The sequence below is a fragment of the Homo sapiens genome, chromosome 6 (genome assembly GCF_000001405.40).
Source record: "Homo sapiens chromosome 6, GRCh38.p14 Primary Assembly".
Classification (NCBI taxonomy): Eukaryota; Metazoa; Chordata; class Mammalia; order Primates; family Hominidae; genus Homo; species Homo sapiens.
The window spans coordinates 3385731-3410182 of NC_000006.12; the positions used below are offsets into that span (position 1 = coordinate 3385731).

General features: G+C 46.0%; 1 protein-coding gene across 16 annotated transcripts in view, besides 1 other annotated feature; it reads right to left on the reverse strand.

Annotated features, from left to right (window-relative positions):
* The window catches only part of SLC22A23 (solute carrier family 22 member 23), a 188078-nt gene that overhangs the window by 116758 nt on the left and 46868 nt on the right, over positions 1-24452 (reverse strand). Inside the window, exon 1 of one of the 16 annotated variants that reach the window (XM_047419243.1) lies at positions 16609-24451. The exons of the other annotated variants lie outside the window; for them this stretch is intronic. The gene's annotated coding sequence lies outside the window, so the exon portion shown is untranslated. Of the gene's footprint in view, positions 1-16608; position 24452 lie in introns of those variants that run through there. 16 annotated transcript variants of the gene reach the window in all.
* Positions 24037-24257: a silencer, noted in NCBI's record as "fragment chr6:3410001-3410221 (GRCh37/hg19 assembly coordinates)". NCBI's record gives its function as "represses an EF-1alpha promoter that drives an FKBP-Casp9 reporter gene in an ReSE screen in phorbol 12-myristate 13-acetate-treated (for megakaryocytic differentiation) K562 erythroleukemia cells {active_cell/tissue: K562(+PMA)}" and the evidence as "EXISTENCE:reporter gene assay evidence [ECO:0000049][PMID:32094911]".

Below are 24452 nucleotides of genomic sequence, written 5' to 3' on the forward strand. Positions count from 1 at the left end.
CTCAGTGCCAGCCACTCCTGACCAGGGCTGCCCACAAACACATGTGCCTGCAACTGGCCCATATGAAAAACAAAAACTCCCTGTCCTCAAAACAAACAACATTCCTCAGAGAGCACTCTGTTACCAGGACAGAGAGACGTATTAGAGCTAGAATACTGCAAAGGGAAATGTGGTCATCTCATTTTTTTTCACAGTTCTTTTCCAAAAAGAACATCCACAGAATAGCCTATTAGGCTGCCAAGATACTGCAACAAACACCCAAGCCCCGCATTTGAGCAGGACGCTGCCAGATGTGACACATCTCACTCTAAATGATGCGGCTCTCAAATTCCCCATTCATGCCCATTCCTGTGGTCACTGATGAGGGGACTTCAATCGGCTTGAAGAACTCACACCTTTCCACACCCCTCCCGGGTGTCTCATTACCTGACGAGGTGGATTTATTAATGATCTGGGTTGACATTAGCTGGGAGCATCACAGGGAAGCCAGTGTGCCCTGACAGTGCACGGTTAGGGGTTTAGAAACCCAAGGCAGGGGAGGTAGGAAGGGGAGGCAGAAAAGGCTGCTCAGGGTGGCGGTGGCCCAAGCTGGAGGGCAGACAAGCCTCAGGCTGGAGAGCGAAGGAGAAGGGAGAGCACGCTTGCTCTGTGTACGCCACACGCACAACCAGCCCTGGGGTCCCTGGATGTGGCACCAGGAGTTGGTGCTTCTCTTTCCTCCTCAAGAAGTTGGCTTCTCTGGAAAGTGGGGGAGGGTCTGAATAAAGCAGCCAACAGGAGGCTCCGGGTTCTGAGGCAGCCTTGTTCTTCCAGACACAGAGGAGGCTGGCACTGCCAGGCTTGGAGGCTGCTTGCTCCTCAGTAGCCGTGCCAAGCGTGGCTGGGGACAGCCCGAGAGCTCAGAACGGCCTTCCAGGGCCAACCCTCTTGCTCTACAGATGAAAAGAGTGAATCCAGGACTGCCGGGGACCTGCCCCAGGGTCACCCAGCGTGGGAGGGGTGGAGGCGGCAGTGGGACTGGGTCTCCCACCCAGGGCACCACTGGAAGGACATCTGGAAAGTCTGCATACTCTGATGCTGACACACGGACCTGGCAGCAACATGGGGAACAAGGACTTGCTTCCACAGGGCCGGCACCCCAGGGCGGGGCAGGCACCCCAGGGTGCAGCAGGCCTTTCTCTGGTTCGTCACTCAGACCACCACTCCAGCCTTTGAAATCAACAACAACCACACACAACTCTTCTCTTCCAACCTCACCCAGATTTTCACCTTTGTTTCTCAGAAAAACCCTACTAACCTTTAAAAAATACACACGTTTAGAAGAGACAGCTTTTTGAGGAGTGAGGAGGTAAACAGCAGTGTACCTAGCCACATGGATTATCTGCCCTTCATAGCTGTGAGTCCCTTTGCTGAAGAAATAAAGTGACTCACTCCTAACAAACTAAGTGGAGAAAGGGAAAACTAGTAACTGCAGAGGAGAAGCCTGGCAGACCCCATCTCAACTGAGGAAGGTTAGCGTGACCAGTGACAGCTCACGCTGACGTCAGAGCTCCTGCCTCGATACGACGCCATGAGCAGGGTGGTGCTCTTCCCCCTAGTCTGATCAAGAGAAAGTATCAGACAGACCCACATCGAGGGGCATTCTGCAAAATACCAACCCGTTACACCACTGTCCTCATCACAGTGTTAAGGTCACAAAAGACAAACCCAAGGAACTGTCACAGATCAGAGGCGACTGTGGAGACACAGCTACATTTAATAGAGTGTTCTGGAACAGAAAAAGGACAGTAGAGAAAACACTGGTGAGATTCAAGGAAAGTCCGTCGTTTAGTTAGTCCCACGACAACGTCCGTTTCTCAGCTCTGGGGACCGTAGCGTGGTTATGTGAGTTCACGTTAGCGGAAGGCGGGTGAGTGAAGGGCTTACAGAAAATCTCTGTACTGCCTTTGCCATTCCTCTGTAAGTCTAAAATTATTTTAACTGTACTGCTTTTGCCACTCCTCTACTTTAAAATGTTTTTAAAATATGGTGAACAAGTAAGTATATGTATATTTCATTCAAAGAGTTAACGAAACCCAAGAGTCGTGGGCTTCTCTGATAAAGTTCTCTGAGGGTGAGTGGCAGGAAAGGAGAAGGCAGGCCGCAGCGAGGATGTCCTGGCAGCCCACGACAGTCTGTGCCACGGCATCTCCTTTCGGTGGAATTCGTGCTGTTCCTGCTGCCTGAAAGAGAAGCCCAACAAGTCCCCTCTGGCAAGTGCAATTTTTCCCACCAGTTATCCTAAAATCAAATTAAAACCGGATGCAGGCTACAACCAAGCACTCAAATCACTGGTGCAGCCCTTGACTTTGTAAAATCAAAATGGCTCACTGGCCTAGATGTAGGGAGAGGGCAAGCCCGCCACAGAAACACAGAAGGGGGTTCATTCAACAAAGAACGAAGGAGACTCATCCAACAAATGTATCCAGTGCTTTGGAACGTGAGACTCAATAGGTCAGGTGAAAGTGCTGGTGTCACAGAGCTCACATACTTCCTCATGGGGGAGGGCAGAAATGCAATAAAATGCAATAAAATGCAATAAACAGAAACAAAATGCAATAAACAAAAACATCAGAGTGGAAAGTGTATGCAGATCACAATGCTACCATCAAACAAAAACAAAAAAGAAAATGACAAGTTTTGGGCGAGGATGTGGAGAAACTGAAACCCTTGTGGCCTGCTGGTGGGAATGTCAGATGGAACAGCCAGCCACCGTGGAAAACTGTGACACTTCCTCGAAAACATAAAAATACAATTACCATATGACCCAGCCATCCCACTTCTGGGTATATGCCTAAAACAAATGAAAGAAGGTACTCAGAAATTGTACAACCAAGTTCATAGCAGCGTTATTCACAACAGCTAAAACATGGAAGCAACTCAAGTCTCCATCAACTGATGAATGGATAAGCAAAATGCGGTCCATCCATACAGATACATGGATACAATGGAACATGATACAGCCTTGAGAAGGAAGAAAATCTTGTCCCGAGCTGCAGTGTGATGAACCTTGAAGACATGATGCTAACTGAAGTAGATCAGTCACAATAGGACAAATACCATCTGATGCTACTTATAAGGTACCTAGCGTTGTCAAATTCAAAGAGACAGACAGCAGAATGGGGGTTCCCAGGGGCTGTGGGGAGGGGGAATGGGGAGTTCGTATTTTTTGCAGACCAGAGTTTCAGTTCTGCAAATGAAAAAGTTCTGTGGTGGCTGCGGGCGTGGTGGCTCACTCCTGTAATCCCAGCACTTTGGGAGGCTGCGGCGGGCAGATCACTCGAGGTCAGGAGCTCGAGACCAGCCTGGCCAACATGGTGAAGCCCCATCTCTACGAAAAATATAAAAATTAGCTGGGTGTGGTGGAGCATGCCTGAGATCCCAGCTACTCAGGAGTCTGAGGCAGGAGAATCACTGCAACCCGGGAGGTGGAGGTTGCAGTGAGCCAAGACTGCACCACTGCACTCTAGCCTGGGCAACAAGAGCAAAACTCTGTCTCAAAAAAAAAAAAAAAAAAAAAAAAAAAGCAACAACAACAAAGTGCTGGGGCTGAATGGCATGACAGAAGCACGATGCGAATACGCTTAACATTATTGAAATGTACACTTAAAAATGGTTAAGATAGTAAATGTTATGGGATATGTTTTCTATCACAATTGAAATTGAAGTCTATGCAGACAATTAGAGTAGGAGACTGTGACCAGAGAAACAAGCTGGTGAGCGCTGAGGAGGCAGTCAGGGAAGGCCTCTCTCAGCAGGGAGGTGGGGCGAGGAACAGAGACAATGTCTCCACAGAGTGCTTGGCATCCTTTCTGTCTACTGCTCTCTTACTGCCCGGCCTCACCACCATTTCAGGCTCACTACAGTCACCCCTCCTCCCACTCCATGAAGCCCTAAACTCCTCAGGGTGGTGGAATCACTCATGGAGATGGCCTAGAGCCTGTGCAGGAGAAAGTACAGGGATGAAGTTATCCTTCCTGACTTACCGAAGGATCAGAATCACCCCTGCAAAGCAGGCATAAGGGGAAAGGGAGCTGGTACGTGCATTTCAGGCTGCTGCCAGCTGCTTGGAATCCACTGCACAGCACCACACCCGTTAGTGGAGAACGGCCTTGCTGGAACCGGTTTCAAAGATTCGCTCTCATTGTTGCCTTTTGGCTAACTTCGCAAAGCTGATGTACCCATCCTCCAAAAATAAGACTCAGCCAGTCAAAGGATGGGCTAAAATACAAAAGTGACATCATCACTTTGCATTTCAAAAAAAGGCCTGGTTTGGGATGAAATGAACAGAGTTCTCCTGGCACGGCATCACTGGGCCAGTTGCCACCATCCGTCCGTGGGCTCATCCGGAACAGCAACCAGCGGTGAGCCACAGTCAGGAAAAGGAATGAGGCTCTCTCCATAACCTCCAGGCCTATGTTAAACTTCACATCCAATGACACCGAGGAGGAAAGGTACCGAAGAAAGAAAGCAGAACTGCCTGGAAATTGAAACACTCAGCCATCTCAGGTAATTGGCCTCAATCACAGAATACTACTCAATTAGATTTTAAAAGATGCCCCTCTGTCAGAATGCAGAGAGATCTAAGTAGATCCTGCATCCCTCTTCTCTGCCCCACTCTCCCTCTCTCCTCCCTCCCCAAAGTCCAATTAAGTCCAAGTGCCAACCTAACATGAGAAGGCTAAGAATTCTGTTCACATCTACCATGACCTTAGTCCACAGGATCTCTCATGAGAAGAAAGCCACACAGTTGGAGTGAACTCTAGTGCTCCCCGGGGCCTAGAGTTCTGAGGTACACTTCGGGTTCACTTGCAGGTTTAAATGTTACCTAAGAATAACCTAATGCAGAGATGTACACACTGGGGCCACTATGGTTCTATTTCACTATGGATCAGTTCAATGCACCAAAAGCTGGCTGCCACTCAGCATCTCTGAGCCTGGTATGTATCAGTGGACCCCAAGTGGGGCTATGGAGTGTACTAAACATCATCACTGAACATTTATATTCTAAACATCAGTCTCAGGCCCTACAGGCTTCAATAATATGCTGCCTATCTGCCAAACCACTGGCTTCCAATGCGGAAGCTGGAGTTCTGCCCAGAAGCCGCACCCAGAGATCTGAGGGAACCATGACACTTACTGTTGATGTTGGCGCCTCTTTTTCCGTGAATTTGGTCAACTGCCTGAATGGAATGAAGAGAATCATACCCTGACTCATTAGAGTGATGAAAAATTTCTCAAACTTACCAAAAATGCCCCTGACAAGAAGATACAAGATCAGCCCTGTCCCTTCTCTCACGGAGCTACAATGAAAATAACAGCAATGACTCGGGGGAATCAACCAGTAATGGTAAGGAAAAGGAAGAGAGTGACTCTAGGTTATCATTCATTATTCACCATTCCCCTTTTGGGCTCATGGAAATGTGATTTGCACACAAATGTCCTCACCAGCTCATGGAGACTTTATTCTTGCTGATATCAATTCATTAATCAATACCTGTAGGATGTGGGTTGAGCAACAGGTTTTGAATCCCACCAACTGTTCGGGCATCCACGCCAAATCCATCTGGGTCATGAGGCTTTGTGAGAAATCTCAGCAAATTCCCTCTACTATTCAAAAACACTTGTGATATATCTCTAATATGTGGGAATTGGACTAAAAAGTCTAGCCCTTCCAGCTTTAACAATTTAGAATCACATATGTATATCTATTCTGCAATACTGCGGCACAGATCTTCATCGTGTTCCATGAATTCATTCATTCATCATGTTCCATGAATTCATTCATTCATCAAACTAGTATTTAGATACCCATTCTGTGCCAGGTGCAAATCCAAGCACTGGAAATGGAGTGGAGAGCAAGAACAATAAGGACCCTGCTTTCAAGGTGTTTCCTCTAGAGTGGATGAGTGGTATGCGGAGATACAAATACACAAATAAATGAAGGTATTTTAAGGTAGGGCAGATGCTTTAAAAAAGGCTGGGTGAGTCTGAAGAAATTGTTTGGGTACTGATTAGACTAGCTAGCCTGAGAAAGTTCCACAGGCATCAACTGAAAAGCGATCATAGTGACAAGACCGGACCAGGCCTGCAGAGGTCTGGAGGGGAGCATTTCAGGCAGAGGGAAAGGTGAGTACAAAGGAACTAAGGAGCAAGCAGGAGCTGAAAGATCCATCTGGCTGGACACAGTGCAAGATCAAAGGGCCAAACCATGCAAGATAGCATGGACTGCAGTAGCATTTGGAATGCACGATGGAAGCTGTTAGAGCGTGTGGCAAAGACCACCAGTCATCCTCCAAGACCATGCTCCCCTTCTTCCTACAGGCTCATAGCTGTACAAAACAAGACCAAGTTCTCCAGCCACCCTTGCAATTGGGTGTGGATAGGTTGCTGAGATCTGGCCAATGGGATGTGAAAAGTGGTACCCATGACTTCTGAGCAGTGACCTGAAGGGGAAGGAGTGTTCCTTCTTCCTCTTTTCCACTGCTCTGCTGGCTGGATTAGGACAGCAGAAGGGGCCTGGGCTCCCAGTGTCATGGGACTGCCACAGCAGCCCAGGACTGACTATATTGATGATAGAAATAAACTCCACTTTGTTTAAATCCCTGTTGTTCTGGTTTTAAGTGCTTTCAGAAATGAAGCTATTGCTAACTATATAGACAGATCGATGCAGGAGAGTAGAAGCTCTGATTCAGGCTGTATGAATATCACCCTAGTTGTAAGTGAAGAATGAGCTGTAGAGGTCTGAACAGGAAGCAAGAAGATCAGTTAGAAAGCCATTGTGCTTAGTTTTCCAGGCATGAAATGAAAAGGCTTTGCCTCAGGGGGTGGCAGTGGAGACAGAGAAATTGAGGGACTCAGAATGTAATTTGGAGGAAGAACTGAGAGGATTTGCTGATCAAGGGAGAGAGAGAGAAGAAAGGGTGACTCTTACCCATTTTTGGCTTGAGCAACTGCATGGATAATGGTTCTAGGGAGGGATGGCTCTGAGGATGTGGGAGGAAGGAGGGTTCTGTTTTGGCCACACAATCTGAAATGCCTACTGGACATCCAAGTGGAACATCCACAAGGCAGTAGGGTATACGATTTTGGAACTCAGCAGGGAGGTCAGAGTTGGTGATATACACCTGGGAGTCTCTGGCCTATGGAGAGGTGAATTAGTGCCATGTTTCTAGCAGAGCAGACACACAGAGAGTGTAGATGGAGAAATGTCAGGAGCCCCAGATCCAACCTTTGGAGGGAGGGCAAAGGAAGGGAAAAGCCAAGTGGGTGAGGTATCATGAAAGCAAAGAAGAGGGTGTGGTCAAGCTGGGTCAGACACTGCTGAGAAGTTCAGATAAGCAAAAGAGAAAATGACCAAGCCTGTGGCAGCCTGGAGGCTGTGGGTTATCTTATCAAGGGAATTCCACCTGAGCAGCGGGGGTGACGAAAGCCTCAGTGGACTGAGGCAAGGACGGAAAGCAAGGCCCCAGAGACAATGCTTGGGGCTCATGTTTGGAGAAGTTTTGCTGTGAAAGGGAGAAATGATGCTACTGTCTCTAATTCTACTTGCTGCCTGAACTGGGCCCATCCAATATAATAGCCACGAGCCATACGTGGTTACTTATGTGAATTAAAATGGTTTTAAATGACAAATTCAGTCCCTTAGTTACTCCTGCACATCTCAAGCACTCAATAGCACACGTGCCTAGTGCTGGACTATTGGGCAGTGCAGGTAGAGAACATTTGCCTTGATGCTGCAGGTTCTCTTAGGCAGCTCTGACCTAAACCCTCCTCTAAGTTCCTCTTTGAAACTGTTGATTATGCTTGGTTTGCCTCATAGGATGATGTGAGCGGGAAAATGGCAGCAGAAATACATGTTTCCCACTTGATTTTCCTTTTATAACTTAGACATGTGACAACCATTGCTCCACGCCTTTGTCCAAATTCTTTGGGTTCATGTTTACAAACTGTTTATAATAACTTTCAACGTTTGAAGAGGGCAGCGGTCTGCATAGCTTCTCAGCGGGTAATTATTCTCAGGTTTTCAATCGTTCCTTCATTCGGAGTTACCTCTTCATCCCTCTGAAAAGAGGATAGGAACGAGGCAACGGCCTCTCAGGCCCTGGAGATGGTGTGGCTTCTCCCTGTGCCCTTCCCTCCTCTCCCTGCACTCCACACAGGCATCACAAATGGAAAAGCCAACTGTGCAAACATTCGCTTCTACCGTCACAAGGTGAAAAGGAAAAATGCCAAAAAGGAGAGCTTGGAAACACAGCAGAAGAGCAATGACCCCCTGCAGAGAACATGAAATAAGATCCGGCAGTGACCCCACTAAAGACACGGAAAATAAGGTCCAACCCAGAACTGGTCAGAGAACACCACTGTGCTTTAGAGTAACAATTACAAAGGAAAAGAGGGATCGGGCACTGTAATATCCCGGGACTGCAGCTTGTACTCTCTGGGTGGTGCATTCTGTAATTCAATTAAATCCTTGCAAAGAACAAGATCCGTGTATCACAGAGTCATCAGATACTCCCCCAGCAACTCCAGGCACACATGAAAGTTCTCACAATAATTCCTGTATGTGGTTGGTGGGCTCTAGACTCACGGGACTCAAGAAGCCCAGGTGAAACACAAGAAAACTGAATGATGATTCCAAAGACCATCTTTTCAGTGGCAAAACTGTCAAGAACAGGAATGATTGTGGTAAATTTCATTTATGGGAAATATAGATTTGAGTGATTAGTTCTCCATTTAACTTTTTCCAGGGATGCCTACTGCATCAAAGAGGAAATTATCAGGTTGAATTTGTGAAACTGCACAAACTATGGTTGCTTCATGGCAGCCCCTGGAATCAGAAGGGTGTGACCCCCAGAGTGATCCCCCCCAAACACAAAGCAAAGCACATCACTTTGTCCCTCAAAAAGCTGGCAGTGGCTCTCCAGGGCCCACAGGGTAAAGACCAGACCCCTTAAGTCTCCACGTCGCTCTGAGGCCTGCCCCGCTCTGGTCTACCTTTGCACAGCCCCCACATGATAGTCCCATGTCCTCTGTGGAGAGTCACATCCTGTCTGGCCAGGCTCCCTGGTGACAGGGGCTAAGACTCGGGGAAGGGACTTCATCCTCAGATGCTGGAGAAAGCAGCCAGAGAGTCACAGAGGCAGCCCAACCATGGAGTCACAGGCAGGGGGCAGGTCTAAACCACACCATCAACCCAGTGATGAAAAGCAGGCACCAAGGCGGGCAGGTATGAGGCAGGGAGGACGGGTCACCAAGGTGGGGCTGGGCTCCAGGATGCTGGCTCCGGAAGTGGGCAGGAATATTGTAGCCATCTCTGGGTGTGTTCTTGGCAGTCTACAGAAGTTTTAAAATCGTATGCTCTCATGTCAGTGAAAAACTTAGTCTTATATTAATACAAGGGTATTCTCAATCATCTGGATGGGATGCCTGTAGCCCAGTGTGAACCTATAATAAGATTTTGGAGCCCACATTTTCATCTGGATTTATACGCACCAAAGGCCACATGTCACCATGACTGGCTGCACAAATGCAGGTCTAACAGGTATGAATAAAGTAGTAGGAGAATCAAGATCTCACATGCGTACGGCAAACCCTACTGAGCCTGAGCGTCAGGCAGGGGACCACAAGGACTGTGCCCATCCATCTTGTAAAGATCAGCTTCATTAGCAAGAAGAGTAATAGGAAAACAGGCAATAACGAATGCTTCCAATCTCAATGACAGCCATAAATGGACTAACTGCATATTTAATTATTACTTTAAAGTAATGCCACAAATCTAACTTTATCTTCAGGAGACAGATAGAGTAGCGCAGCCATCAGGCACCCCATTATAGCGAATGACTGAGGCTTGCTCATGGAGCAGGCCAGGGGTGAAATACATAAAGCTTGAGTATTCCATGTCAGCCAAGCCTTAAAATCACTGCCATCTCAGATGGCAAAATTACGCAAAAAGGCAACATGTATACTGGCATTACTCAAGTCAAAATGCCAAAATAGATTAAATATTAATCTGAATCTGAAGCTACATCTTTCTCCTATTCAACCCATCATGAGTCAGTGGGTAATTCTGTTTCAGGAAAAGACTATTGTCCATCACATGGAACTCCTGGATTGAAATTATATTATACAGGTTTTGAAACTGTTGTTAATATTTTGGTTTTATAGTTATTTGGAAGTTACGAGAACTCATGCAAATTCCTTACAAGATGATTGTACACATTTAAATAATACTATACTAACATATTTCAAGTCAAAAAAAGATGGGGCTGTTGGGAACAACACAGCAGTATAAACAGGGCACTAGAGCCAGGCGGACTTGGGACCGGGGAAGTTCTGTTTGCTCCATCTCTTAGTGATATACGGAAGGGAAGTGCTAGGAAGGGAAGAGCTGGGTAGAGGAGGGCATGGTCCCTGGCTAGGGCTCCATCCCCACAGACCTAGGTGAGGACAGGCATTTCCTGCCCAAGACCACCCTGGCCTGCCACGCCCCCATCCTGTGCCCCGGAGATGGCCAGGTGCAGTGGCTTATGCCTGTAATCCCAGCTCTTTGGGAGGCCAAGGCGGGCAGACCATGAGGTCAAGAGATCGAGACCATCCTGACCAACATGGTGAATCCCCATCTCTACTAAAAATACAAAAATTAGCTGGGCATCTGTAGTCCCAGCTACTCGGGAGGCTGAGGCAGGAGAATCACTTGAACCCGGGAGGCAGAGGTTGCAGTGAGCCAAGATCGCGCCACTGCACTCCAGCCTGGTGACAGAGTGAGACTCCACCTCAAAAACAAAACAAAACAACAACAACAAACCCCAAGACCCTAGCAGGGAGGCACACAGGCAGCTGGACATTGAGAGGAGCACATCAGCAGAGGAACACACAGGCGGCTGGATGTTGAGAGGAATGCCCCAGCAGGCACCGGCATGCACCAGCAGGCTGGCAGGCCATCGACCAGCAGAATGACATGGAATTTGGTGGGGCAGTCGGAGAAGAGCGAGGCTGCCGAGCAGCCTGACTCCAGGGAAAACCCATCTCCCTTCTGGCTCCCGCATCTGCTGACAACTACTTCCGCTCAATAAAACCTTGCACTCATTCTCCAAACCCAGGTTGATCCGATTCTTCTGGTACACCAAGGCAAGAACCCCAGGATACAGAAAGCCCTGTGTCCTTGCAATAAGGCAGGGGTCTGACTGAGCCAACACAAGCTGCCTTCCGATGGCTAAACTAAAAGAGCACCCCGTCACGCACGCCCACCGGGGCTTCAGGAGCTGTAAACATTCACCCATAGACGCTGCTGTGGGGTCGCAGCCCCACAGCCTGTCCGCTTTATGCTCCTCTAGAGGTTTGAGCAGCAGGGCACTGGAAGAGTGACCCACTCTCCCATCCCACACCCTGCAAGGGGGACAAGGGAACTTTTCCCATTTCATTAGTATGTAACCTTAGGCAAGTTACCTTCCCTAGGCCTCAGATTTCTGTTTATGAAATGAGTGCTCATATCACAGAATTACTGGGTGGATTAAATAGTTCCATAGCACTCAGCAGTGAAAAAGTTCACCTTTGCACAGTCCCCACATGACAATTCCGTGTCACCTATGGAGAGTCACATCCTGGCTGGCCAGGCTCCCTGGCGAGAGGGGCTCAGGGAAGACGCAGTGTACAAGCTCAGTAAGTGTTATCTCTGGCTTAAAGGCATCTCTAGCAAATTAGACAAGGTCCAGGAATTAGAGGTCTCAGTTTCCTTAACTGTAAAATGGGGCTATTTGTGGGAGCTACTTTACATGGTTACTATGAAATTTACATATCTTTCTATATATTTGTGTATATGTACATATGTATAACTCAGCATAGTTTCTGAACTTAGAAAATGCTGAATAAATAGCTTATTATCATCCATTGTTGTCAAGGCACTATCATGATAGCCTCAATCCCTTTTTACTCTTTAATATCAAAACAGTGCTCAGCTATACAGCACCATGCTATATACATGCACACATGCTGAGGTGTGCCAAAAGGGAGGTCTCAAGCCAAGATTCACTGTAGCTACTAGATGTCTAACTCTTACACTCCGGGGCTGTATATGGTTCTTTCTAAAAAGAGGTAAGGGAATGACATAATGAGATATGAGACACAATCACGCTCCAAGCACTGAGGTCAGCCCAACGGGGAGCAAATGACCAAGAATGGGGGGCCCTGGGGCCTCCCAGCAAACACTTCCCATGTAGTGAGGGTAGTCACATGACCCCACCCTAACACAAAGCAGCCAGTACTATTTACCAAAGAGGAGAAATCATATTTTCCCTTGCATTCTTCTCCATCTCAGAGTCCTTGTTCACCCTGGGAGCCTTGCACACTTAGCAATGCCAGTTCGACATATTAAACTGATGCCAAGGAAGAAATAGTGAAAAACTCTAAGCCCCACAGGAACTTAGCAAAATGTATTTACTATTTAAAACTGATATGGATGGGGAAATGAACTAGAAGTAAATAGCCCTTAATTCCTAACCCTACCCCCAACCCTGATAATCTGACTTTGGTTTGGAGGGAGTTCTGAGCCTTTTCCCAGAACTCACACAAAGCAAATAACAAGCAAGACATGCTTTCAAAAGGCAGAGGTTAGAAAGGACGCAAGCACCTCTCAGCCAGCAAACAGGAGCAGGCAGAGCCAACTCTGCTTGGATACAAAGCACTATTTTTTTTTTTTTTTTTTTTTACAAGAATCATCAAAAGCCCTGTGGAAGGAAAAACGAAAAGAAAATAACAGCCCTTAATCAGAGACCCATTTTCTGGTCTCGGTGTTCTGTGCAGGAGATTCAGAGGCCCTCTGAGCTGTCCCACTCTGTCACCTGGGAACACTGCCCTGAAGTGGAGGCCCTGCAGCTTCGCCCAAGAGCATCTCACCCCAGCTGCAACCCTCCCTGCCTCCTCAGGCTCCTTGACGTTGGTTTCTAGTGGGGTAGAGGTCTTAGCTTTGAAAACACCCAGGACTAGATGTGGTGGCTCATACCTGTAATCCCAGCACTTTGGGAGGCCGAGATGGGAGAACTGCTTTATCCAGGAGTTCAAGACCAGCCTGAGCAACATCGTGAGACCTCATCTCTACAAAAAATTTAAAAAGTAGCCAGGCACGGTGGTGCATGCCTGTGGTCTCTGATACTCAGGAGGCTGAGGCGGGAAGATCCTTTGAGGCCAGGAGGTCGAGACTTCGGTCAGCTGTGACCGCACCACTGCACTCCAGCCTGGGCAACAGAGCAAGACTCTGACTCTTAAAAATAAAATAAAATAATAAAACCGAAAAAACGAAAAACACTCAGAAGGCCCCTGAGTCTGACTTCACCATTTAGAGAATCACCAGCAAGGCCCTGCTTCCAGAGTCTGGGCCAGTGGGAGGTGGGTTCCTACAGGCCTGGCGGCTGGACTTGGGAAGTTGTTCACCATGCAGAGGAAACGCCTCTTCAGAGGGGACCACGAACTCACATCATAAAATGTGCAAAACAAGGCACTGCCCATCATTTCACCCCAAATATTTTCTAAGTCTTACATGGATTTTGGGCCAGCAATCGGAATGTGGTTCCTGAACTGTTTTTCCCCCAGAAGAGCCATTTGAAAATACAATAAAAAATGAACCATGTGTTATTCAAAGTCATGCCCTTCCTCAAGCAGCCATTCATGTCCATCCTGAAAACACACATTCTCACACAGCCACATCGCAAACAGGAACTGCCATCCGCCCCTCCAGAAGGAAGGCAGTGAAACTTTATGGCAGAACATGGCAAACAACAGGGCCAAGCCTATAGCTGTGTTACGGATAATGAGCAACGTCCTGAGTTAATATTTAACAATATGAACAAAATGTTTACAGGCGTTTTTAGGGATTAATACAAGGAAGGGAAAGGGAGAGGTTGCATACAGATAAGATAAATCTTGAAAATGAGTACCACTATTCTATTTCTTCAGTGGGTTTTCTTACCAATTAATGAAGCATTCTGTGAGTGATGGATACTCAGGGAGTCGATAGAAGAGCCCTAGGAATGATCTGTCCAGGAGAATTTTTTCTTGAGTTTATTGTCCTCTCCTACCCCTGAAGTGGTTAAGACTTTCAAAATGCAATATATGATTGCATTTATTTTTTTGAGACGGAGTTTTGCTCTTGTTGCCCAGGCTGGAGTGCAATGGCACAATCTCAGCTCACTGCAACCTCCGCCTCCCAGGTTCAAGCGATTCTCCTGCCTCAGCCTTCCAAGTAGCTGGGATTACAGGCATGCACCACCATGCCTGGCTAATTTTTTGCATTTAATAGAGATGGGGTTTCACCATGTTGGTCAGGCTGGTCTCGAACTCCTGACCTCAAGTGATCCACCCGCCTCGGCCTCCCAAAGTGCTGGGATTACAGGCATGAGCCACCGCGCCCCGCCCATGATTGCATTTTAAAATGAATTTTAAAAGCTCTGAATGGATGCTATAAGAGAGGTAATTTATTAAGCTGACCACTGGAAAAACAATTATGAAGCAGATTCTTGCCCCCACCCACCAGTTATTCTGCTATTCTAAGCTACCAGACAGCCACAGTCCAAAGTTCCCAAGCTTGCTGCGAGCCCAGAGATTCCCTCACATGAGTGGGCCTCGTGGAAGAGGAAAGGGCCGATTATTTCAGGGCAGTAATGGTGCTTGCAGTAGGATGGTATCTCAGGGCAGCTCTGGTGCTTGCAGTAGGATGGTGGCCATCACGTCACAAACATGCAAATGTCCACCAACACTTCCCTGGAACTTCATGGTTTTACAGATGACAATCACGTTCATCTGGTCAGCCACCTGCCCAATCTTTCCTAGGTGAGGAAACTGACTTTGAGTAGTCAGCTACCTTGTTAAAGGTCACAACTGGCAAGTGGGGGGCTTGGCTTCCAATCCAAGCCTGGATTCCACCCAAGCATCTTCTCAACTGTTTCCGTGTGATCACACGCACGTGTGTGCACTTGGGTGTGTGTTGATGAGAAAGAGGGTGGGGATATGGCAAGTCTTCACACACTGCCTTTCAGTATGGACACTGGAACATCAGAACAAAACTGCATCTCTAACTCAACTCAATTGTACTAAATGTAACTGAATATCCAGTTATTGAGTCACGGGAATATCATGTTTCAGGTGACTTTAAGCAAAAATAGGCATTACCGACTTGCCTTCCAATTCCATTTTTTTCTGCTCAATAATAATGAACATCTAACACTCTAAAAAACATTGTCTTGCACAACAATGGAAATATATCACTAAATTGTGCACACTTAAAAATGGCTGCAATGGGACAGGCATGGTGGCTCATGCCTGTAATCCCAGCACTTCGGGAGGCCGAGGTGGGTGGATCACTTGAGGTAAGGAGTTTGAGACCAGCCTGGCCAACATGGCAAAACCCCGTCTCTACTAAAAATACAAAAATTAGCCGGGCGTGGTGGCGCCTGTAGTCCCAGTCACTTGGGAGGCTGAGGCGGGAGAATCGCTTGAACCTGGGAGATGGAGGTTGTAGTGAGCCGAGATTGTGCCGCTGCACTCTAGCCTGGGCAACAGAGTGAGATTCCATCTCAAAACAAAAACAAAAACAAAAAACAAAACACAAAACAAAAAAGGCTGAAATGGTAAACTGTATGTAATGTATATTTTGCCACAGTAAAAAAAAAATATAACTTTCTTTCTAAAATACTTGGCATAGGACAAGACAGTGCTTCTCTGAGGCATACATAAATTAAAACCTATGCTCGAAATAATTCACATTACATTAATCACTACATGGAATTAAAGTTGCTTTGCCACACTTACCTCTGACCTACTGGGCAATCTTTGCTATGCCCAAAGGACATTTTTCAATGTCCTGCATCACTTGACTCTGCTGTCAGCCCCTTCCTTGGCTCCCTGGTAACCAGCCTGGTCTGACTCTCCACTGACCACACAGTCGGTTCCTCCCTGTCTCTCTCCACTGGTTCTTCTACCTCCACCCATTTGTTGCTCAGCTACAGAGCCCCTGGGTGAGCTCAGCTCTGGTAACCTTTAGTTGCTACCTTCATCCTGAGGACACGGGGGCCTTGCTCCTGAACTTCTGAATAACAAATCTCCTGGCAAATCAATCCTCTCAGATGCCCTAAGTCTCCATCAGCTTACCAGGTCTGAAACAGAGGTCATCATCTTCCCCTGTCAGACTCATGGGAGGAAGGGAGTGGTCGGTAGCTTCAGACTCTACAGGATTTGGAATCAGAGTAGAATGCTTGGGCTGAATCCCTTTTATCACCATTCAGAGAAAAATCCCCTCTCCAGGTATCCAGGCAAGTCCCCTGGCCCTCCTTCACCCTTCTCCCCATTCCTCAGTCATTGAGGCTGTGATTCTGCATCCTCAGTGTCTCTCCTGCCCCATGGCCATGGCCCTCATTCGGGCTCTTCTTCCTCGCCTCACTACCACAGCAGCCTCCCAGCTCCTAGCTTGGCCTTCTTTTCCTCTTTGGCCTGCTCACACTGCAGCCTGAGACATTTCTCCAAAACATGCATCTAAGGCTTATCTTTCTCAATTGAGATCCTTCAGTGGCCTGCCACTACCTTAAGGTCATGGAGGATAGGTCTGTGTGTGTTGTTCCATCCTCCTTCCTTGGCTTTGTTATTCATAATTTAGATTCCGACCCCAATCACCAACACTACCCAGAGTGCACTAGGCTCTAGCTAAGCCCTAATCACCCACACTACCCAGAGTGCACTAGGCCCCAGCCAACCCCAATCATCCACACTACACAGAGTGCACTAGGCTGCAGCCCACTCCAATCATCCACACTACCCAGAGTGCACTAGGCTCCAGCCAACCCCAATCACCTATACTACCCAGAGTACACTAGGCTCTTCTAGGATCTAAGCACCCACTGCAAATAGCAAACACCTATTCTCCCTGACCCCACAGAACTCACAGCTCAGGAGTCTCCTCTGGTGCTCACTGTCCCAGCAGGGTGTGTCTCTGCCTCTTCACTCACTAAACTCTGAGTGCGCTAGAGGGCAGGAGCACGTACTTGCCTCTATGTCCTCAACACTCAACAATGGCAAGGGTTTAGTATGTAATCAAGGAACCAACTGTCCATCCCCTGGCACCCGACAGGTCCTCACATGTTCATGGAGCAAATGAGCAAAGGAGAAAATTGTGCTTCCGGGCAGGTCATGAAAAACTAAAACTTAAACTCTTTGTAGCAGAGCCTATCTGGCAGGATGCGCTGATTTGAGAAACAGTTGTTGACAACAAACTTTCATGGCTCTGCACCATTTGAGTTATATTTCTCTCTGTGCTCTCAGCCAAGAGTCTGTCTTTTCAATAACAGCAAGTCTTGGCAAACCAGTAATGATTTTGCTTCCCACTAGATACATTTGGATGTTTTCAAGAAGCCTAATGTTTTGCTTTTTTTTTTTTTACTTGTTTTCAAGGTGACTGATTTATTTCCTCTTTTAATTTGCTTTTAAGAACATAAAACAAAACAAAGTCAGCCCAGTATTGCTCTCTTACACTCCTGAACAATTTTTTCTGGTCGACTCAGCTTTTAGCTTCAGGTCCCATCCTGTCTGTCCAGGTGTGGAAAAAAAAAAAACTCCCAGGGAGTGTAATAGGATTCCAGCCAGCAAACATGTGGTAAGAGAGGCGAATGGAGCAAGCAGGAAAGGATTTCCAGCAGGGGCCAGCAAGGGCAAGGTTGTTGACATGAGGGCAGGGTCTGGAACCCTGGGGAAAGGGAAGCTGTTAACCATTAATCTTACCCTATCACAGCATCTCTTCCCAGCTCACTTTATAGATCGGCACTGGCGCAGCAGCCACACAGCGAGGAAGGATGGAAGTCCAACAACACTAGGTACTAGTGTGGACTTGAGACTGGCACATCTAGGGGGGTAAGAGGAAGCACCCCTGGTTTCACTGCCCCCACTCCCACCCCAAGAAATCTTCAACACTGAAGGAGGCTAATGGCTAAGAATTCAAAAGCCATAGAATTCTAAAACTGGAAGTTACGTTGAAGCTCAATAGTTTTCCATTTGTTTTGTTTTCCATTCATTTTCTCCACGAGTTATCCCAGGAAGCGATCGCACAGCTACACAAAACTTGGTTTAAATCTCATCCCTTACTTTATAGAGAGGGAGACACAAGCTCAGAGAGATCTCACAATCTGTCACGGTCACCGTCAGTCAACTGTGGAGTCTGCAATCCAGCTCAGATCTCCTGATTTTCAGATCTTTTCAGTTCCCCTTTTAGAGTAGTGAACAGCTTTGTTTCAAATGAAGCACAGACACACTACTGAAATTCCAGTCTGGAAAAAACCTAGTCCGTAAGGTTTTGACGCACAGTTTAAGAACAGCCTCCCCTGTGTGGAAAAGCATCCAAATACTCTAATTTTAAAATGCCCAGATATCTCCGAGTATTTGCTACTATTTTCCTCTGATTTGGACATAGATCTACCTTCACCAAATTCAAAACACCAAAAGATATATGCACTGGAAAGCCTATCTGTACATTTAGGCAATAGCTACATGTTTTCTTGCACAGACTTCTGGACAGAAGACTGGGCAGATGGGTCTCAGTGATGCCACTGGCCGCTTATTCTTTCTCTGTCCTCACATTTCCATTTTTAATATGCAGGTGAGATGATATATCCTTACATGCCCTAGAGACATTTGCATTTTTTCCAGAGAAATGTCTATAGAAAGAAAAGTCCAGGTTTTGGCGAACATATAGGTAGAGATAGAGAGAAAGGCCTGAGTAAATTTTTATTTGAAGGACTGGCACAATTTTGAGAAAAATCAGTCTTCAGTGGCATGTTGTGGCTCCCTGCTGGATGGCTCACCCCTCCAGGCTCTGACCCATGACCAGTGGCCCTGCCTAACTGGCCACCACAGCATTCTCGCCTTCCCAGGGGTTGGAACTGCCTCACCAGATGCTTCTATTCTTACTTACCCTGCAGTGAGCCCAGAAGCTCTGACTGCTCAGAGGTGGGATAAGGGAAGACAGTGGGGTACAGAGCAAATGCCCTGTTACTTTTTGCTTAGAAATTTACTCCTTTGCTTTTCGCAGTTTGCCCGCAGGGTTAGTAATGTGTTTCCAGTGAAGAAAATGACCAATGGAGAGACCTCAATCTGCTCCGATTTCCCTGTTGTGCCCATCTGAACCTCAGTAAAATCAAAATTCCTTTGAAGCTTAAAAAAAAAAAAAGATTTGTCGGCCAGGTGCGGTGGCTCATGCCTGTAATCCTGGCACTTTGGGAGGCCGAGGCGGGCGGATCACGAGGTCAGGAGATCGAGACCAGCCTGGCCAACATAGTGAAACCCTGTCTCTACTAAAAATACAAAAAAATTAGTTGGATGTGGTGGTGGGTGCCTGTAATCCTAGCTACTTGGGAGGGTGAGGCAGGAGAATCACTTGAACCTGGGGGGCGGAGGTTGTAGCGAGCTGAGATGGCACCACTGCACACCAGCCCAGGCGACAGTGCGAGACTGTCTCAAAAAATTTAAAAAAAAAAAAAGTTTGTCAAAGGCCTTCGGTAAACTCTGACTCATTTCCTTGGTGGAAATAGCCTTGTGAGTGGAGTTGGTCCCACCAGGAGAAGGGCTTTTTGCCCTGAGAACTTGCTGCTACTGGGAAGGCCCACGTATCTGAAGATGGGGAAACCGGGTGGAGACAAAGAGACGACCGAGCACGTATTCATGCGAAACTTTCCCTTCACCCAAATGCAGAGCAAATGTTTGCTCCCCAGAAGCCCACAAGGTAGCTGAAGCCATTTCTAGTTGACATCGGCAATCTCCATTCTCTTCATTCCACACTTTGACAACTCACTCTGTGGAGCCATTTGGCTCAGTCAAATTTTTTTTTTTTTTTTTTACATATATAGCATAGTGCTGATGCTTAAAGATCCTGTTGACTGAAATAAGTTGCAAGGAATATTAGTTCAGGGAAATATCAAAGTGTAAAAATATATGGGATAGTGAGAAAGAAAAAGCCATCCAACACCAGCACATTAGAAATTACTCAATCACTTCTGTCATGTGAAAAAGGGATCAGCACCCCACCCAGAGCAAACTCAAACTCTGAGTCTATTACCAGTTAAGTCAAGACTTGGCTTCTATTTTTGCAAAGTAATCAGTAACTGAGTCAGCTGTGAAATTCCTGGTTGCTCCTTGATCTTGTGTAACATTTATCCAATCATTTAGGCTGTTTGGGTTGAAGGAGGGTTATTACAATAAGAACATCTTTGAGAGACTTTTTCAAGAAAATTGTTCATTGTTGGGGGGAAAAAACCCTTCATTTGCCCACAGGAACTAAGGTTTGGTCTGTCAGCAAAAGGTATTGTTCATTATTTCAAACTGGGAAAGTGTAGCTGGTGGGGGGCAGTTAGAAGTGGAGAGGGGAAAAGGTAGAGATCAAGTTAGAAGAGACACTTTTAAACAGTATTTTTTATTTAAAAAAATTCTCTCCCACAGGACTTACTACATCCAACATCAAATCAACTTAAAAAACCACCATCTCTCATGGCTCCATTTGAAGAAAGACACATCCTTCACAGTGCTATATTACCTTGTCTGTGATATTATGGATCCTGGTTAGGAAAAGGATTCATACCACAACCAATCACGTCCGCCTATGCTGAGAAGTGTCCATTTCTTTAGGCTGAAAATAAGACTGTACTTTCATAAACAAATAGGAAAATGTGATCTATTGCTTCTTTTCTTGGTCCGTGCCCCTCGCCTTGCTAAGTCAGTTTTTCGACTGCCTGTGTGTGTGTGTGTGTGTGTGCGCGCATGTGTGTGTGTGCGTATGTGTGTCCAGAGGCCACTGATCCAGTCCAAGTGTATTTAGAAATTAGTTCAGTGGCTCACAAAGGTCTTAGAGGCCACTACTGTGCTGGGGAAATCCATTGAGCTTGGCTTGTTCTCTCTTGCTCTTGCCAATGTGCACTCTGCTTCCATGCAAACACTCCTTAGGAAGATGCCAGTAATCTCTATTTTATGTACTAATTACACAACCACATCTCCCTTTGGCGACTTGAGGGAAACAAACATGTAAAGTGTAGAGTATTTAACTGGGATGTACTTTAGAAAAACTCCAAAGCAGAAAAAAAAAACCTTCAGCAGCCTTGCAAATAAAGCAGAAAACTTCCACAAGTCAGCAGCATTTCTCAAAATGAAGAGTCCACCCTTACGGCAAGCCATACAAGAAACTAAAACTGCAAAAATCATTACTTTCCCTACTTACATTGCCAAGCACCTGCAAGACTAAAAAAAGAATGCTATCCAGTTCTGTTCTGAGAAAGCACAGGCCTTTCCAGCAGATGCATTAAGTGAGATAAAAACCTTATGGTTGGAGGAAGAAAAGAAGTTGGGGCCATTACAAATGTAACTTCCAAATAATCAATGTCCCAAAGTTTTAAACTTCCCTTTAGAGTTAAGAAGTACTTCAACCCTGTGACCTGGCTTATCAATAATTTTCTTCAAGTAAAACAAATTTCCAAGCATTACCTAGGCATAAATACTACTGTGTATAAAATGCTAGCAAGTACATTAATATGGATATTCAGTGACTCCGCTTTTTGACTCAGCTTTATTGACTGGGAGTTGCTGTCTTAACTTCTTGTCACCAGCCTCTGCCTTCTCCTAAGACTGCCATGTGTGCAGAGACATGGGTCACCCCAACCATATCCTACCCCAATCCCACCTGCCCATTATGACTATTTCCTTTTTAAATTCTCCCTTTATTTCCTTTTATTCTTCTCTCAGAAGCTTTGCTCTTTTGCCATCTCTCAACCAACTCTCCTAAATTTTCATTGTTTAAATATCTCAACAAACTCCGAGTCATCATTCACAGCCCTTTGGTTTAGTTTAGTTGTGTAACCCCAAATACTTTATTAGGTCTAACAGTGGGTCAATCACTTGTTGATACTTGGGACATTTTCACTGCAATGGCATTTGTCATGATGTTTGTTTAATTTGTGGTCCCTATCTAAGAAAACATGACCATTTATGCCCTGCTTTATTGCAGAAAAAAACCTAAGGCTGCTTACACTAAATAACATACACACTAAGATACACACAAAATAACACAAATTATGGAGGAAGAAAAATGGGACAAAGCAGACATTAAAGTAGGGAAGTTAAGATGAAACTAGGAGAGAGGTCAGAATTTAAAGCTTGTGTTATCAGGCCCACACACAAATATTTACATCAGTGGTTGAAAAATTATGGCCCACTGGCCAAATTTGGCCCACCATCTGTTTCTGTAAATAAAGTTTTATTAGAACACAGCCACACCTGCTCATTTACATATTCTTTATGGCTGCTTTCAGGCTACAATGGCAGAGTTGAGTAACTGTGACAGACCATATGGCCTGCAAAGCCTGAAAAATTTCCCACATGGAAAAAGTTTGCCAGTGTCTGGGTTATATGATTCTGTGCCTAAGAGACTGGAGGGAAGCAATCTCCTAGGGTAAGTACTTTCTTTGAATGGTTCTGAAGTAGAAGAGAACCTTCTGCTATAAACAGCTCACTATGTAATCTAATGAAAACACATCTTCAACATAATATTTTGTAGTAAATATAACAACTGGCTTCAGAGGTCAATGGCATGATGTCACAGTGCAAGTCAGTAAAACAATTCTATGAATATGTGAGGTGGAAACAATGCCGTTCAGGTACAATTCACTCCTGGTCTGGCTTCATTCATGGATAGTCTCTCCAGATGGCAAATGCCAGTTACACAGGTAGCCCTTCCCTACCCTCCTTCCTTGACACTGGCAGACATGGCTAATGGATCAAGGTGTTCTCTTCTGCTGAGCCCCAAAGTCTCCTCAGAAGTCTTCTCCCCATTCTCTGGCAGCTTCAGCCAGTCATTAGTAATTGGCATGCAAGATAAAACCAATACACCATCTTTGCGGTAAGGTAATTTTCCATGAACACTCTCTTGCCTGGGGGTGGTGAGGCTGAGGTTATATTCTCTGCAGAGCTCCTGAAGCACAGCTATTCCATTTTGTCCTAGTGCAGAGCTGTCCCCTTTTATGACCATCCACGTGAGAGGACTGGACTGCCCTCCCCCTGTGAGAATGGAAGCCTGACAAGGACGGCTGCCCAGAGCAAGGGTCCCGGCGCACTTGCACACATGTGGGCCAAGGGATTGCCTGAGGGCAGGACCAGGAGGCTTCTCCAGAAAAGTGCTTAGACCTGTTCCTCTGCACAGACTGTCAGGGGTCAGGGCCATAGACAACGGCACAGGCATTTTGCCTGGGGAGGTTCAAGCCCAATACTCGCATTATTTATTCAAAGAAACAAGTTCCCCAAACACCATCACCCAGGCCCACTCATCTTGTCATGCATATCTTCCTAAAGAACTTCCCAAGAGACAAGGGTTCTAAGACAAATGCAAGTAAACTGGAAAAGGTGATTTCTAAGAAACTACAATTCAGTTAAACATTGATGACAAAACGGCCAACTACGGATCTAGAAGAATATACCGGTAGCCTTTTTCTGTGTCTGCTCCTTCCTGTGACAATAAAACTATGTCCTGAATGGATTATATTTCTAGTGGAACAAAAATTTTAGCTATCTAAAAGAAGTCTTTAATATGCAAATTTAAGAGAATTAGAACTATTCTTATGTTGTCACACTGGAAATTGCTACTTAATCTATACCTGACTCCTGTGCGTGTGGTCAAAGAAAGAGAAAAAGACAAAATACATGGTAAATCTTACAGTATTCCCAACAGATCTTTCCACAAAGTGACTAAAAAGTATAAAGCCAGTAAATAAGTAAAATAACCACGCCTAAAACTCTTCTTCTCCTTATGGGTGTGTGGTTGTGTTCTAGCAAACACCACCTACAAATAAGTGAAACCTAACTATATTCAGCAGAGTTAATACAGCCAACAGACAAGATAGATCAATGAAAGAAATGTCTCACCCTCCTAAAAAGACCAAATACTAGCTAATGCTGTCATTTACTTTTCCAGTACCAATGCTTAGGTCTCAGTTCCAGACCACTTAAGGACACAACTGTGGACATGAGAATGTGGAAAGTTTGGATTCTGTGTGGATACCCAATTATGCACCAGATAGAAGCACACAGGATGTCAATGCAGACAATTCTGAAGAAAACCGAAAGCCTCTCCATATCAGGAAAGAACCGATCGCCACTCCTCCAAGCAGTTACGCAACCTCCCGTGTCCTTTGATGTGCACTGAGCCCGAGCTGGAGATCAGGATTGAGTGAAATGTTTCACGGCATCACCTGAAAAGCCTCTTTCACAACACTTGAGGCCTTTAATGTTTGTGTTTCCACAAAACTGCCAGCCCACACGAGCAGCATGCACAGTATCTTTCCCAGAACCTCCCAGGCAACAATACTTTTGCTAAATTCTTTCAAGACTAGTCGTGAAGGCTCCTA